The sequence below is a fragment of the Homo sapiens genome, chromosome 5 (genome assembly GCF_000001405.40).
Source record: "Homo sapiens chromosome 5, GRCh38.p14 Primary Assembly".
In the NCBI taxonomy this organism is placed as follows: domain Eukaryota; kingdom Metazoa; phylum Chordata; class Mammalia; order Primates; family Hominidae; genus Homo; species Homo sapiens.
Window position 1 is genome coordinate 136,250,771 of NC_000005.10, and position 17,265 is coordinate 136,268,035.

General features: G+C 40.2%; 1 protein-coding gene and 1 long non-coding RNA gene across 5 annotated transcripts in view, besides 2 other annotated features; one reads left to right on the forward strand and one right to left on the reverse strand.

Annotated features, from left to right (window-relative positions):
• The window catches only part of TRPC7 (transient receptor potential cation channel subfamily C member 7), a 152,801-nt gene that overhangs the window by 38,026 nt on the left and 97,510 nt on the right, over nucleotides 1–17,265 (reverse strand). For all 4 annotated transcript variants that reach the window (NM_001167576.2, NM_001167577.2, NM_001376901.1 and 1 more), the window contains 2 exons: nucleotides 15,450–15,666; nucleotides 879–1,112 (listed from right to left, as the gene is read on the reverse strand). In NM_001167576.2, the coding sequence (NP_001161048.1) occupies nucleotides 879–1,112; nucleotides 15,450–15,666 (451 nt within the window). The remainder of the gene's footprint in view (nucleotides 1–878; nucleotides 1,113–15,449; nucleotides 15,667–17,265) is intronic.
• The window catches only part of TRPC7-AS2 (TRPC7 antisense RNA 2), an 89,446-nt gene that overhangs the window by 24,116 nt on the left and 48,065 nt on the right, over nucleotides 1–17,265 (forward strand). The window lies entirely within an intron of this gene.
• Nucleotides 434–934: an enhancer, noted in NCBI's record as "H3K4me1 hESC enhancer chr5:135586892-135587392 (GRCh37/hg19 assembly coordinates)". NCBI's record gives its function as "activates a minimal SCP1, AML or CMV promoter by ChIP-STARR-seq in naive H9 embryonic stem cells {active_cell/tissue: H9 hESC(naive)}" and the evidence as "EXISTENCE:reporter gene assay evidence [ECO:0000049][PMID:30033119]".
• Nucleotides 617–817: a silencer, noted in NCBI's record as "peak5482 fragment used in MPRA reporter construct". NCBI's record gives its function as "represses an SCP1 promoter by STARR-seq MPRAs in K562 erythroleukemia cells {active_cell/tissue: K562}" and the evidence as "EXISTENCE:reporter gene assay evidence [ECO:0000049][PMID:32103011]".

Genomic DNA, 17,265 nt, shown 5'->3' on the forward strand with positions numbered 1-17,265 from the left:
AAGTTAAGTAAACAAGATCTCACAGTAAACTACCGAACTAGGATTTGAATCCAGGTCTCTTCTACTCCAAAGCTTGGGGACATAACCACTATGCTATTCAGCATGATTTTCAAATCATGTCAGGCCAGGATTCCCTGCTATACAAGGCAATCCTGTATTTTCTGGAAACATTATAAGCCCTGCTATAAAAACCTGATTCTTCATGTTTAAAATAGGGACAAAAGAAGGACCCTTTTTTGCCGGGCTATTTGCAAGAATTAGAATTGTGTGTATAAAATGTCTACACAATTCCTGGCACATAGTAGGTTCTCAATAAACATATGTTATAACTATTATTAGTATTCCTAAAGTCTCAATCTACTACATCAAACTGTAAGCCTTTGCATTTTGCAAGAATTAAGGTAATTAAGGTATCTTCTAAGAATGTATCTTGCCACCAAGCAATAACTAGGAAAGCAGGATTTATTTTTGCACAAAACACAGGGATCCAATATAGAAGGAAAATTCTTCCGCATATACATATCCCTTTAGCGCTCCTGGATGCACATCAGAAACAAGACGTTTCTTAAAAACAAACAAACTACAGAAATGTTCCCAAGGGCCTTTCAGAAACAAATTCACCCTTAACACAAAAAGATTCATTTCTCAAAGTCACTAATTCCACGTTCTATTCTGCTGGCTACACTTCCAGGACCAAGGGTTTTTTTGAGGTGGAAAGGATGCTCTGCACTGACAGTGGAACTGCCAAAGTCGGCTGTGTTACAAATCATGGGCCACTTGATTACAAATAGCGTTACAAGTTCACCAGCCACAGTGAAGCACCAGGCCCACGTCCCGGAAGCGCCAAAATGGAGTAGGGGAAGCACTCTCCGACTCACCGTAGGTGAAGTATGCCACTTCCGGCGGAAGCGAGACATTGTGCAGCGTGTCGTCCTGCACGTGCTGGTCCACGTACAGCTGTGCCTCCGTGGCCTTCAGGAAGGCCATGAAGCGTGCTGTGAAGGAGGCCACGAAGATGGACAGCATCCCGAAATCTAGCAGGTTCCACAAGTGCAGCACGTACTCCCGTGGCCCCTCCTCCCAGATTTCCTTGCATTCGGACCAAATCATTCCTGTGGGAGAAGGAGAAGGCCAGGCTCACTTTTCGTTTCTCTTGGCATTTGTGACCGCATGAGGTCATGGAGGGAACCAGAGTACAAATGTAAATATCAGCTCTTTGGAGCTGGGACCGTCGATAGCCAGAGGCAGACAGAAACGTGTTTTCAAAGGCAGATTTAGACCCAGGAGACTCAGAGACTTGGCCTTGTGCTTACGAACACACTGTCTCTGCAAGTGAGGAGAGAGTTTTCATTCGTTGATAGATTCTTGGAGGGAATATAGGAGAAATACAGTTGCTGACATTTATACACTTTAAGAACTTTAAGAACTTAAAGAATCAATTAGTCCTAAATTAAATATAGGGAAACTGAGGTCCAGGAATTGTAAAGGGCTTTCTGAAGGTCCCCCCACTCCATGCCCCAAATTCTACAGAAATGCCCCAAGAACCTAGAACTATGGTTTTTTTTGGACATAGAACCCAGTTTTTTGTTTTGTTTTGTTTTGTTTTTAAATCCCAGATTAGAATGCTTCTGTATTTCTGTGTCATGAGCATTAATTTAGGGTTATTAGATTTTTTCTTACTCTTTCATAACTTATTGGATTTTAAAGATATATGTCCTCATTGTTACATACTAAACAATATAGAAGTATATAAACAAAATGTTACTAGTTTCCCCAGCCTTCCTCTAAGCCAGCAGCCCTTTTGGCACCAGGGACCAGTTTCATGGAAGACAATTTAACACAGGGTGGGGTTGGAGTGGGGGTGGAGGGTGGGATAGTTTCCAGATGAAACTGTTCCACCTCAGATCATCAGCCATGAGATTCTCATAGGATGGCAACCTAGATCCCTCACATGCATAATTTACAATAGGGTTTAGGCTCCTATGAGAATCTAATGCCGCTGCTGATCTGACAGGAGCTGGAGCTCAGGAAGTAATGCTGGCTTGCCCACCGCTTACCTCCTGCTGTTCAGCTCGATTCCTAACAGGCCACAGACTGGTACCAGTTGGCGGCCCAGGGGTTGGGGACCGCTGCTCTAAGCCATCCCTGTGAGGTAGCCTGAGCTAATAGTTGATGAGTATCCTTCTAGACCTGTACTGTCCAATACCATAGCCACCAATCATATGTGGATACTGAGCACTTGAAATGTGTCTAGTTTGAGATGTGCTGTAAATGTAAGGTACACACCAGATTTCAAACACTTACTATGAAAAAAGAATGTAAAGTATCTCATTAATAATTTTTTGCATCAGTTACATGTTGCAGTGATTAATATTTTGGATATGATAGGTTAAGTATGTTGTTAATTTCACCTATTTGTCTTTATAATATGGCTTTTAGAACATTTAAAATTATATAGCTCATGGTTGTTGCTTGCCCTGTATTTCTATTGAATAATGCTATTCTATACCTTCACATTTACTGATTACTAAATTATTACTATTTAAATTATTTTAAATTACCGGCATACCTTGTTTTATTGCACTTTGCTTTATTGTGCTTCACAGAGACTGTGTTTTTTTCAAATTAAAGGTTTGTGGCAACCTTGTGTTGGGAAAGTCTATTGATACCATTTTCCCAATAACGTGCTCACTTTTGGTCTCTATGTCATATTTTGGTAATTCTCACAATATTTCAAACCTTTTCATTATTATATTCATTATGGTTGGTCTGTGACCAGTGGTCTTTGTGATCTTTGATGTTACTATTGTAACTGATTGGGGGTATCATGAACCACTCCCATATAAGATGGCAAACTTAATCAATAAATGTTTTGTGTGTTCTGACTGCTCCACTGACCTGCTGTTTCCCTGTCTTTCCCTCCCCTCGGGCCTCCTATTCCCAGTATTTCAACAATATTGATATTAGGCCAATTAATAGTTCTACAATGGTTTCTAAGCTTTTAAGTGAAAGGAAGAGTTGCATTGCATTTCTCACTTTAAATCAAAAGCTACAAATGATTAAGGTTAGTGAGGAATGTGTATCAAAAGCTGAGATAGGCCAAAAGCTAGGCCTTTTGTGCCAGACATCTAAGTTCTGAATGCAAAGAACAAGTTACTGAAGGAAATTAAAAGTACTACTCCAGTGAACTCATGAGTGATTGATTAAACCAGCTATGGCATTCCCTTAAGCCAGTGCCCAAACCAGAGGAAGACCCTCACTCTCTTTAATTCTATGAAGTCTGAGAGAGGTGAGGAAGCTGCCAAAGAAAAGTTTGAAGCTAGCAGAGGTTCGTTCATAAGGTTTGAGGAAAGAAGCCATCTCCATAACATAAAAGTACAAGGTGAAGCACCAAGTGCTGATGCAGAAGCTGCAACAAGTTATCAGAAGATCTAGCTAAGATAATTGATAACAGTGGCTACAGTAAACCACGGATTTTTGATGTAGATTAAACAGCTTTATCTTGAAAGAAGATGCCATTTAGAACTTTCAGAGCTATAGAGTAGACATCAGTGCCTGGTTTCAAAGCTGTGTAGGGCAGGCTGACTCTCTTGTTAGGGACTACTGCGGCTGGTGACTTTAAGTTGAAGCCAGTGTTCATGTACCATTCCAAACCTAGGGCCCTTAAGAATTATGCTAAATTGACTCTTCCTGTGCTCTATAAGTGAAACAAAAAAGCCTGGATGACAGCGTATCTGTTTACAGCATGGTATACTGAATATTTTAAGCCCACTGTTGAGACTTACTGCTCAGAAAAAATATATTTCTTTCACAATATTACTGCTCATGGACAATGCATGTGGTCACTTAAGAGCTCTGATCGAGATATACAGGAGATTAGCATTGTTCTCATGCCTGTTAACATAGTATCCATTTTGCAGCCTGTGGATCAAGGAGTAATTTTGACTTTCAAGTCTTATTATTTTAAAAAATACGTATCATAAGGCCATAGCTGCCATATATGATTATTCTTCTGATGGATCTGGGCAAAGTAAATTGAAACCTACTGGAAAGGATTTATCGTTTTAGATGCCATTCAGAACATTAGAGAATCATGGTAGGAGGTCAGAATATCAACATTAAATGGAAGAAGTTGATTCAAACCTTCACGGATAACTTTGAGGGGTTCAAGACTTTAGTAGAGGAAGTTACTGCAGATGTGATGGAAATAAGAGAACTAGAATTAGAAGTAGGGCCTAAGATGTGACTAAATTGCTGCAATTTCATGATAAAACTTCAATGGATGAGGAATTGTTTCTTATGGATGAGCAAAGAAAATAGTTTCTTCAGAGTCTACTGGTGAAGATGCCGTGAACATTGTTAAAATGATGACAAAGGATTTAAAATATTCTGTAAACTTAGTTGACAAAGCAGCAGCAAGGCTTGAGGGTATTGAGTTTAATTTTGAAAGAAGTTCTACTTTGGGTCAAATGCTATGAAACTGCATTGCATGCTACAGAGAGATCTTTAGTGAAAGGAAAAGTTAATTGATGCAGTAAACTTTATTGTCTTAAGAAATTGCCACGGCCACTTTAACCTTCAACAACTACCATTCTGATCAGTCAGTGGCCATCAACATTGAGCCAAGACCCTCCACCAGCAAAAAGATTATGCCTTGTTGAAGGCTCAGATGATTGTTAGCATTTTCTAGCAATAGAGTAATTTTAAAATTATGGTTCTCACTTTTTTTAGACATGATGCTGTTGCACGTTTAATAGACCACAGTATAGTGTAAATGCAACTTTTCTCTGCACTGGGAAACCAAAAATTTCCTGGGACTTTCTTTGTTGGGATACTTGTTTTGTTGTAGTGGTCTGAAACTGAACTTGCAATATCCTTGAGATATGCCTGTATTAAAATGTAACTATTCAGTTTCAATTTGAGCACCTACTATGTGCTAGGCACTGCCATATGTGTATATGTATTATCTTAAATCCTTGCAACAATCCTATAAAGTACGTTCTGTTATTATCCTATTTTTACAGCTAATGAGACAGTGGCTCAGATGGTTGTAATGTGCCCTGCTAGGAAGCAGGAGATCTGGAATTTGAACCCAGAAGGTCTGCCCCTAGAGTTCATGTTCTTGACTGCTATACTCTTCTGTCTCTCCAGGAAATAAAATTGGGCTCAAATCAGTTAGAAAAGACTCTTGAACATTTTATGTCATCAAAGAGTCTTACGACTACTCAGACCTGGGAGAGCTTTGTTGTGGAACAATGCTACACTTAACCTGTATATTTAGAGGGATTCACGTGGTAAAAGAATCACCAGCTGGTCAGTGAGTGAAACAATTCCAGCTCAGTGACCACACACTCCCTAGAGGCTAACACCGATAGCCTCTTTTGGCAGTCCCTCGGCCCTGTTCATCAGACATGATGGCCTGCTTTCTTTGGTACCTCCTGCCCCTCCCATTGCTCCTCCTCAGTTTTCTTTGCTGCTTTTCTAACTCTGCCCACTCCTTAAGGGCTGCAGCTTTCCAGGTTTTTGGCCGTTCCCATTCTTCCCTCTGACCTCAAGTTAGTGCATCTAGCCCTGAAACTTTGTCCTTCATTTCCTTGCATATGTCTCACAGATGAATATCTTCCTAATTTTCCTTAAGAACTTCAAAGCTGAATTCCCCCCATAGAGAGAGACTACTGTTAGTGGGTTAGTGGATGTCTTTCCAGTGCCAATATTACATCCCTCAAGCTGGCCTCCCCATCCCTCCCACCCTCACTGTGTCATATCCTTACCCAGTATTCCCACTCTTGCACCCCTGACTCTTCTGGCTGTCACCAAGGATCACTGCAGTTCTGCAGATCCTCCTCTAGTGGATGTCAGATCCATCTTGCTCTTTTAGTCTTCAACTCTATTCTCTGACCTCATAAAGTTTGGGTCATATCATGGTCACTTCTGTCTTCAGATACCTGTGGTGTATTTCTCATAATACCAAGATAAAGTCTAGACTCCAAAGCTAGGCTGTCATTCCTATGATATTCCACAGTTTTTATACACCCTGTACTCTAGCAAAGCAGGCCCACCTAACAGTCCTCCAGCAGTTCCACCCAACCATTTGCTTGTGTTTCTTCCTTTCTTTTTCCCAGACATTAACCCAAGCACACTCACAGATGCCTACATGATAACAATCGCCTTTGGGGGTCCAGATGCTGAAAAAGCCTGGTGTCATAGATGATGCTGGGAGTAGACAGTAATGAGGGCTCTTCCCTGGTCAGAGCCTGGCTGACTTGCTCACAGGCCCACATGTGGGCACATTCGAGTGATGAGCTGATCAGTTTTACTTGTCTGGGACTATGCCCAGGGACTATTTTAATCAGAAAATTTCCCTTTCTGTTGAAAATGGCCCATGAAATAAAAGGATTTAAAATGTTTTTCTTTCTTTTTTTTTTTTTTTGCGATGGAGTCTCACTCTGTCGCCCAGGCTGGAGTGCAGTGGTGCGATCTCAGCTCACTGCAACCCCCACCTCCTGGGTTCAAGCGATTCTTCTGCCTCAGCGTCCCGAGTAGCTGGGACTACAGGCACACGCCACCACACCTGGCTAATTTTTGTATTTTTAGTAGAGACGAGGTTTCACCATATTGGCCAGGCTGGTCTCAAACTCCTGACCTCGTGATCCTCCCACCTCGGCCTCCCAAAGTGCTGGGATTGCAGGCATGAGCCACCACTTCCGGCCTGAAATGTTTTCCTAAGGAGAAAAGTAATTTGAGAGCAGCTGTTTGGAGAAGAATCATGGCTTTATTTAATGAAGATCTGCATATTTGTATCAAATTGGAATCCCCACAATAGGAAATATTAAAAAAAATTGCAGGTAGGTTTACCCTACAATGGTAGGGCAGAACCAGCCCCCTCCTTTTTTGTTAACAAAGCTATGTCTCAAGTATACCGTATCAAAATTTTTGTGGTAATTCAGTGAAGTAATTTCTTAACACTGAAATACACTTTCATCTGTGACTGTGCAACCGGTATTTTTTAAATGGATTTTAAAAATAAATTTTTTAATGGATAGAAAAATAGTGTTTGTTGCTTTCCTCTACCCCCAAATTAAAAATCTCAACATCTGAGTGGAACTGCTTTTAGCATGGCACTAGGAGAGTCACAGGCTGTAACTTAAGAGTGATTGGCTTTAATTCAGGAAGCCCTGGGTTCAAGTTCTAGCTTGGCTACCTATTAGCAGTATGACTGTGGCTAAGTCCCTTGATTTGCTGTGGGTCTTAGATTCTATATTTTGAAATGAATGAATTTGGAGTTTGGAGGTAACTTCAAGTACTAAAAGCTCTATGAATCTGAAATGCAAATTATTTTCAGAAAACTAACTTTTCTGACCCATATAGTAGCTTCTCATTGGACATTGGGAATCACTTCCTCCATGGTCAAATGTCTGCATGAGTCTTCTTAGATTTAAATATTAATTCACCCAGATGAATTTAAATTATTCCAGGGCCATAAGTAAAAGTAACATGGGCCCAAGGGTTTGGGCAGCAGGAATGCTTAATGAAAAAGGAATTGTGTGAAATTAAGTATTTTAGTGAGTGAAATTGGCCCCCTGCCGCCACAGTGCCAAGGATAGTTCAGCGTTTTATATCCAAGCTGAGCCCCATGGCCTTTTGCCTCCAGCATGTCAATCACAGGAGTGTTTAGAGCCCAGGGCTCAAGGGGTAAGCATGCGCCCCCACCCTGCTCCCTACACTTGAGCCTCCTTCAGGCAAAATTTCCCTCACTCAGGGATGCCTGGAGCCTAGAGAACAAGGTCACTAATAATTAAGGAGGGGTGCCTGGCAGTGGAACAGGCTGGGAAGTGCCAGGAAGCCTCAAGGGAAATGAGTAGCTTCTTATAGGCAGGTTCTGAGTAATGTCCTGCAGGCTGTGGAGATGGAGCTTGACAGCTAAAAGGCTAAAAGGCAGTTCACTCCTATCCCTGCCTCAGATGATATTCAGAAGGGCTCCCCCTTCAAAGTCCTGTGAGACTTAAGTATGTACATTCTTTAAATGGTCCTGGCCCCCAGGGGCTACTGTCCCAGGGCATTGCATCTGCCTCTCTGTTCTCTCAGGCCAACTTCTCACCATTGGTCCCCAGTTTGAACTCGCAGGAGAGAGAATATGCCTAGTGGCTGTGAACCCACAAGTCCTAACATCAAAACACTATCTCAACAGGCAGTCCTTTGCAACAAATGTTGGCCTCAGACACATTCAGGGTTCATTTGTTTTTCAGGCAAGAGGATAATATTAATAGATCAAAAATGTTCTAACAAAGCTCCTCCTCTTCATCCTCCTCTTCTTTTCTAATATAGTAGCCCCCAATTATTGAGTACCTTCTAGGTGCCAGGCCCTTTGTAAGTACTTAATAAATGCTAAGTCTTCATAATAGTCTGATAGATAGCTACTATAATTATCCCCACTTTACAGATGAAGAAACTCACCTATGAAGGTGGCAAGTAAGTTGTCCAAAGCCACACAGGCAGCCCAGGAGCCTTGTTGTCCACTGTGCTGTCTCCTGCCATGCCCTCCACTGGGAACAAGCTTACTCTCACTGGTTAGGAACTCATTCACCCACTTAACAGACATTGTTGAGCTCCACCTTTGTGCCAGCCACCATTAAGAGAGGCAAAGCCACCAAAGAGAAAGGGACACACTCCCAAGCTCTTCTCCTATTTAGCATTTTAGACGTATTTTACTACCATACCAGGCATTTACTCCTAGATGGAGAAATCTCATGCGTTATGGAGATGCTTGCTAGCTTCCAAGCTTCTGACCGCTTTCTGGGAACTACTAGCATTATTACACAGTTCTCAGATGAACATCTCTAGTGCTATAATCTCTAGTCAAAAAACTTATTATAAGCTTGTTATTCTTGCATCTACCCCAGAATCACTGCTTATAATGCAAGCAACAAAGACAGATTCCTATGGTATGTGTGGATGTTAGAGATTCTCCAGGCTGGAAGGAGCAATGGTCACTGGTTCATTTAGTCTTTTCCTCATCTGATGGCTCTCCAGGATATATATGTCTGCCAGCAAATTTGTCCCTCCTTCCTCAGCCTTGCTCCTCACTTGGCTTCCTTGATATTATGTTCTCCTGGAGTTTCTTTGCCTCTCTGGCTCTGTCTACTTAGTCTCCTTGTGGCTTTCACTTTCTCTGCCGATACCTTAAATATCCTGGAATGATGATCTAGAATTTTCTCAAAATTCTGCTGAGAACTGGGCAAAGTATGTGGAGGAAAGGAAGAAGGTATTTCCAGTTGGGTTTGGCCTTCCTATAGAACTGTAAATCAAAAGAGGAACAACCTACATGCCCCATAGGATGAGGGGATTGGGAAGTAAGTTGTTGTCAACACAAGTGGCCATTGAAAGAGGTGATTGGGAAAACCAGATGGCCATGTGGAGAGAGGGCTACAGTTAAACAGAAGATGAAAGGAGTCAGCTACAAATCTATGTGATTACAGAAATATCAGTATTAATTGAGACAGGCAGGAAACAAAATAGAGCATATAGTATTGTCAGAGGCGTTAATGGTTATGCAGAGAAACAAAAAAGAGGGACTAGGAGGACAGTAGGGGTGGGAGGACTTGCAAATTTAAATAGCTTGGGTTGAAAGGCCTCACTCTGCGGAGGATACTGTTGAGTAAAGACCTGAGGAGGTGAGGGAGTGAGCCATGTAGATCCATGCAGGAAGAACTCTCCAGGCAGAGGGGACAGCCAGGGCAAGTGTTCTTAGGCAGAAGCAGTGCAAGGCAGAGAGCCTAGGGGGCTGAAACAGAGTGAGTGAGGTGGAAAGCGGTGGAAGAGAAGGTCATAGAGATGGAGTGGAGAGGTGAGAGCATCATAGGCCACTATAATGACACTGGCTGTCATTCTGAGGGAAATGGGAAGCCACTGGAGTCTTGATGCAAACAATGAGAAGACTCAATTACGTTTTAAATGGATCACTCTAGCTCCTGCATTGAGAACAGACTGAGTCATGGGGGTGGGAGGGGCAGCAGCAAGGAGACCTGGACAAGGGTCATTCAGCCCTTTGTGGCCAAACTCTCCATTCCTGAAAGTACTTTGGACTTGTTAGGGTCCTGAGGTTTGGTTCAACTCTAGAGTTGCTTCTGATAAAGAGGGAGTAATGGTTTGGGTGTCTTTATAATCAGTCTGTTCAAAGTACTTCATTTATGAGTATGGTATGTCATGGGAGAAAAGAACTGTGCTATTTTGTTTCTAGCTGATACGAGGCCTTCTTGGAGGTGCCTAGGAGCAGAATTCCAAGTCTTCATCAGCAGGGGCCTGATGCTACCTCATACCTCTCAACATCTGAGCAGAGAGTGAATCACATGCTGGATCTCAGGGTGCACCAGCACAAAGACCCTTCTCATAAACACAGTGCTCAAATCTATCTCTCAGTTATTACTATTTTTATAATAATTAAAGAGCTCCAGATGCTATTTAGAACAAGATAATGTTAATTCTATTTATAGCTGCTTCCCTAGTACCTGACACGGTGCCTGATGTATAATATAGTGCCTAATAACTAGAAAATATTTATTGAGTAAAAAATTGAGAAAATAGAAAATATCGGAAAATAACTTCTACATGTTCCCGCTACTGCATCTCCCAGTCCACCTGCACTGTGCTGTCAACTCCACCTTTTCTCCCGTTACAATGAGTGAAGTGTTCACACTCCTGCTAAGGCCAAGTCCTCTGCTTCCACACTAAATCCCATTCCCTGTTGCCTACTCAGGTACTTTGCTTCCAAAGCTGATTGTCATGTCTCTGGCCTCATCAGCAGCATTCGACATTGTCATCACTCCCTGGTTCTTGCCACAGATACTTTGGCGTCTGGGCCAGCACTCTCTTGGTTCTTCTCTTACTTTAGCCTTCTTTGCTGGATATTTCTCATCTTCCCATGCTTTAAACATTGTTGTGCTCTGGGGCTTGGTCCTCAGTTCTCTGCCCACATTCATAGTTACAATGATGTTATATAATTTAAATGCATTGATATGTCCAAATTTATGTTTTCAGCCTGTCTCCCCTGTGAACTTCAGGCATGTATATTCAGTTGCTACTTGGCATTTCCACATGAATGTCTAAATATGTGTCTCAAACTAGAGTCTTGGTTTCCATCTCTATTCCCCCTGCAAACTGCTCCACCTTGGGTCTTTCCCATCTTAGTAAATGGCTTTCTAATATGCCAGTGCTTGAACTAAACACCTGGAATTGTTCTTGACTGCTCTCTTTCTCTCACATCCCATATACAATCCAATTGTAAGTGTTATTGGTTTTACCTTCAAAATGTAATCACAATCTGCCACCTCCTCAAACCAGCCATTTCCTTCCTGTCTAAATTACTGCAGTGGCCTCCTAATTGGTCTCCTTACTTCTGCTCGTATCCCACAATCATCTATTCTCTACATAGCAGTCAGTGATCCTTTAAAAACTGAAGTCGTATGATGTCACTTTTGTGCTGAAAACTCTCCAAAGGCTGCCTCCTCTGACTTCATCTCTATTTCTCTTCTCCTCATTCATCTACATCAGCCACACTAGTCTCTTTGCTGTTCCTTGAACACGTCCAGCTTGCTCCTGAATCCAGCTTTAACACATACTGTTCCTTCTGCCTGGAATGCTTTTCACCTTATCAGAGTAGAGGGATGAGAGGGCATGCTCTTACCTGCTCAACTACTCTGATAAGGTGAAATTTGAACAGTGATTTGAAGGAGGAGGGGAAGCGAGTCTTGTGGATATTTATTCAACTTACGTCTCTCAATGAAAGAAATTTGGTTATTGGCTGGATATTTGAAGATACTAAGAAATTATTAATTTTCTTTTAGGCTTGATAATGTTTTTCTGATTCTCTTTTAGGAAAAGTGTTCTGATTTCTGTTACTAGCCAGGATGGAGTAACAAACAGGTTAAAAAACAACAAAACAAAAGCAAACATAAATAATATTTTTAGGCATTGGAAATAGGCAGCACGGGACTGTGATCCCTAAGTAAAGGGAAACAAGTGAGGCAAACCATATGACCACCATGGCTTGCTTTCTGGAGGCACATTCCAGTCTGTAGTGCACGGAGAGGGATCCCAGAAGCATAGCAGCAGTCTCACTGAGTTGAAGAGACAGAATGGGGTTTTGGAAGGCTGAGGTGATTAGATGTTGTGCAGCAGAGCTCCAGAGAGAAGGGTACTATGCAAAAACAAGCAAGCAAAGAAACAAACAAACCAAAACTAAACAAACAAAAGACACCAGAAATTTAAATAGGGGTTCTTTTGAATGTTTGTTGAATACCAAGTCATGAATTCATAGAGTGAAACTCCACAAACAACTGCCAAGGAGCTAAAAGCCGAACCGTTTTCAGAGCTTACCCAGAGTGGGGAGATATTCGAGCTCTGATCATCCAGATTTGACACTCCTTGTTGATTACCCAGGGCATTCAATAGAGACCCCAGAAGTGTGTCTCTATAGTACAAAGATAAACAATCTTTATAGTAAGCCTTCTCCAGATCCACTGTGAGAAAGCTTTACATGGATCAAACTCATCACAAGTGGCATAACAGCCTGTCAGAATAATGCCAAAAACTTTGAAGGAAGACAAAATCCAGAGGCTCACAACTGTAACATGCGGAGTGCCCATCATTCAACCAAAAAATTACCAAACATTTCAAGATGCAGGAAAAGGTCATCCATAATTAGAAGCAAGATTAGTCAATAGAAATCAACCCAGGAATGACAGAAATGATGGAGTTAGGAGTCAAGACTTCAAAACAGTTATTGTAAATGTGTCCAAGGATTTAAAGGAAAACACAAAAATGATGAGGAAGGAAATGGGAGATATAAAAGAGAACCAAATAAGATTTTAAGAATTGAATAATATAATATCTGAAATGAAAAACTCACTGATTGAAATTAAAATCACAAAAACCACAGGAAAAAATATCAGCGACTGTGAAGCACAGAAAGAAGAAAGACTGATAAAAGGAAAAAGACATGTTACATTTCAGTGATATACACAAAAATATTTACAGAATAAATTTACAATAGCTGGGGTTTGTTTCAAAATAATTCAAGGTTAGAGAGAAGGGAGGTGGGGGAAGTATAGATGGAGCAAAGATTGGCCATGAATTGCTAACTGTTGAACATGAGAGATAGGTCCATGGAATTCATTATGCTCTTCTCTTGATTTTTTGCATTTCCTTAAAATTATTTGTGATAAAAAATTTGAAAACATTCTCTAGGAAAGAAAAAGTAATTAGAATTTTCCTTCTGGAAAGAGGCCAATGAGAAATAAGTCCTTCCCTCTACAACACTTCTGATTTAACAGTCTTGAATTCTGCTCTGAGGGTCAGAAGCAGGGACTAAGCTATACAAGTTGGGGTTCCTATAGCTAGAGACACATCCCTTATATTGGAATAATGCTCTGACACCCAGGAAGAGAAATATGAGGACTCAGGAGGAAGTCCTCATTCAAGAGGTTCCATTAATAGCAGCCACACCTGTTCAAGGGAAAGTATGGTTGCATTTACCAGAGTCTTCTACCTGGGGTCCAAGTGGGAAAATGGGGTAGGTGGGTGATTGGTGCTGTAAATACTTTAAATTTTATTCATAAATCCAACATGTGAGTTTTTTCTAAGTGCCTAGTGTTAAAATGCTCAATTTAGTTAAACAATGGCGTATGTACTAGGGAGAACTGGGATAGATTCTGAATTGTGAAGTTAAGACCACAGAACTCTGTAACAAACTTTAATGTCCCTTCCCAACTTTAGTGCCAGTGACTGTACTAAATGAGCCTTTGGTCACAGGGTTGCTGTTTTTTTTTTTGTTTGTTTTCTTTTTTAGACAGAGTCTTGCTCTGTCGCCCAGGCTGGAGTGCGGTGGTGCAATGTCCGCTCATCGAAACCTCTGCCTTCTGGGTTCAAGCGATACTCCTGCCTTAGCCTCCTGAGTAGCTGGGATTACAGGCGCACACCACCATGCCTGGCTAAATTTTGTATTTTTAGTAGAGGCAGGGTTTCACCATGTTGATCAGGCTGGTCTCAAATTCCTGACCTCGTGATCCACCCCCTTCGGCCTTCCAAAGTGCTGGGTTTACAGGTGTGAGCCACTGTGCCTGGCCGGGTTGCTGGTTTTATAAAGTCCCTGGAAAGCTTGGTGGGTTGTCCTTCCTATACCCTTTGGATAAAACCATTCATCTCATCTTCCTTTGCCTATTTAGAGATCGAATTTAGAGAGCATTTTTCCAATTGGTCTCAGCTTAGGCATCCATAGGATGTTCTCTAGTGGTTCTACTCTTGTAGCACTCTTGGGCTATATTATTTAATTAGCACAGGCCATATGTTAGGTTACCTTTTCAAGTATTTGTTCTACTGTGATTTTGTTGATTTGACCCGAATACATTTTGACTCATTGTTTGTGAATATAAACATAATGAAAATTATACCAATATTAAAATTTTTGTTCAGAAAGCAAAATCTAAGGTGAATACCATTAAGCCAATTGAATTATTTGATCAAGTCTTGATACTGTACTAATTTTTTGTCTTTTTTATCTTCTGTTTTTCTTGTTTTACTGAAAATATTCCCATCAAATTGACATATTTTTGATGTAAATCTTAAAATTTATTGATAAGGTTTATAAACAGAGTCACTGATTTTAGTTTTTGCAATTTTTAATTTTTTCCTACTAAGACTGATTTTTTTTTAACCAACCAGTTTTGTAGTTTTCAGTGTCGGAAAAATCTATAACACATTTTGCCACGTTCAATTTTAGTCACTGCCAGTTTTATTTTGTTCTGATTATTCCTTCTAGTAATGGTTCTCATAAATTGGGTAAAAGACAGCCTTTCTTAGTTAATCAATGAGGAAATTGGGAACAATTTCCTTGGCAGCTCCAGTGGCAGACTGTGGCAGCATGAAATACCACTACAAGAGGAATTTCATAGCCTTTTAGTACACCCACTTACACAAATAACAAGAAAATGTTACTCCCGTGAATTTTTAGATGTATATTTATTATCACAATTCTACTATGAATATGAATATTTAGTGATAACAGAAATATCTTTCAAGCTATGAAATTTTGTGCCCTTTTTTAGAATCTGAACTTGTTTTCTTAAGGCTTCCAGTAGACTATATTTAAATGATCAAAATAATATGTTTCCCCATGAAACTACTTTCAATACATGTATAATGAATGTTCAATATATGTACTTAAAAAATTTCTGTCCCCCGCCGCCCCAAACATTTCCTTTCAAAATTGGAATTTGTATACAGGTCTGTGTATCTTAAAGACAGAAGTTGACTCTGACTTTCTTGTTGGTCATCCACTCACCATTTTGTCTATCAGGAGTACACTGAAGAGGAGAGGGAGAAATTCAGAAATCAGAGTTTAATAATGTCCTACTATAATTAGCAAGGAGAGAATAAAAATAGAGTGACTTGCTTACCTAAGACCCACTTCATAATGAGCATTTCTGTCCAGGAGAACTGTGTGGTTTTCACTCTGAAGATTTGTTTTGGGTAGTCTGTGAAGGTTTCGTTTGGCAGGGTTTTAACACCTTCAAATCGGTCAGATGCATTCACAACTAATAATCCCAAGAAGATTGTAAAAGAAACTGCATGAGCTACAAACTTCATGAAAGGGCTCCTCAGGGTTCGTCCTAGCTGGAAAGAAAATGTGTTCAAGACATGTTAAACTGTCTCTAGGTGGATGTAGGTCTTTCTTTATAACATCGCTTTCACCAAAGTTTAACCAGAGAATCCTTCATCTTGGACAGAAACTGCTAACTGAACCCATACAACATTTTTTCTTGAACTATTATGTGAGATGCTGCTTGACCAAACTTATTTGGTCAATATTTTCCTATTTAGAAGACTTAGTGGGAGGGCTAAGAGAAATTGATAGAACACACCTGACATAATCATCATGCTACATCTGATTGCACTGATACCTCCAACTGCATGGATATGAAAAAATAATGTCTGCATAAAGTTCACAATTTTAAAAAATGCACTTTGAGTGCTCGGTTTTTGTTTAATCTACTCACTTGGGCTTCATTCTAAGGGTATTTGTTCTCAACCTTTCTTGTATGTTGATACATTTATTTAAAGCTATACATTTCTCACTAGGTACTGCTTTAGCTGTATTCTCCTAAATTTTCACTTGTAGCATTTTCATTGACATTCTGTTATAAATATTTTATAAATTATATTGTGATTTCATTTTTAACTCAAGGATTATTTCATTTCCAGACATAGAGGACTTTTTTTCTCCCTGCTTTAAAAAATTTGAATTTTATTGCAGCATCTTTATAGAACATAGCCTCTATGATGGTATTCTAAAATTCATTGAGGTTTTCCTTTTGGCCTAGTGCCTGAAATGTCACAAGCTGGAAATGGTCCAAAAGATGCCCTATTAGGAGCAAATACTAGTCACATCTTCTTTATCTCATGGCACCCCATCCAAAGGCCACTTGGATCTTTGGGATCGAATTGAGGGCTGCACGTTGAGTACTTGCCAACCTCCTGTTAATGAACTCAGTTGGGACTCTTCCAGCTCATTGCCCTCATCTAAGCACCAAGCCCTACCCCTCATCCAGGTACAATAATAAGGCAAGAACAAAGAGGAACATCTTTTCTGAAGCTCAGTTCCTTTTCCAAGGTAGATATTCAATTATAACCAGTGACTGATTACTTGACATTCACATTCTGCCTCATTCAGGAGTCCTAGAGTGAAATGTTACCCAGGAGATAGACTGTTGGTTCAACAGAAGATCAATTACAGGGCCTTCTCTAAGTAGAATTTTCCTAGTCACATATGTTCAGCACAACATTTATAAATCAGATGGTTTGATAATGTTCTTTTAATGTGCTTCAGTATGTTAATCATCCACTTTAATTACTGTAGTTATTAGCATAACATTATTATGATTCTGATGCTATAGAACCCATTTATTAAAATAAAGTATTAGTTTTTATCTTTTTTAAAAATCTAGGTTTTAAAAAATATCCAAGCATTAGGAGTCCCTGCTTGTGTTAGAATTCATCTGCATATTGTCATATGACACTAGGAATAACTTCAGAAATATAAAGAGATGTTTATCTGACAATAGGCCCACAAATATTTTACAATAACATTTCTGTATAATGTTTATTACTTACAAAAATAGGGACTGTAGATTATTTTTGGCAATAGACAGATGTGCTAGTTATAGAATGCAGTGGCATTCTATAGGGCACTGAAGGTGATAGAGATAGAGATAA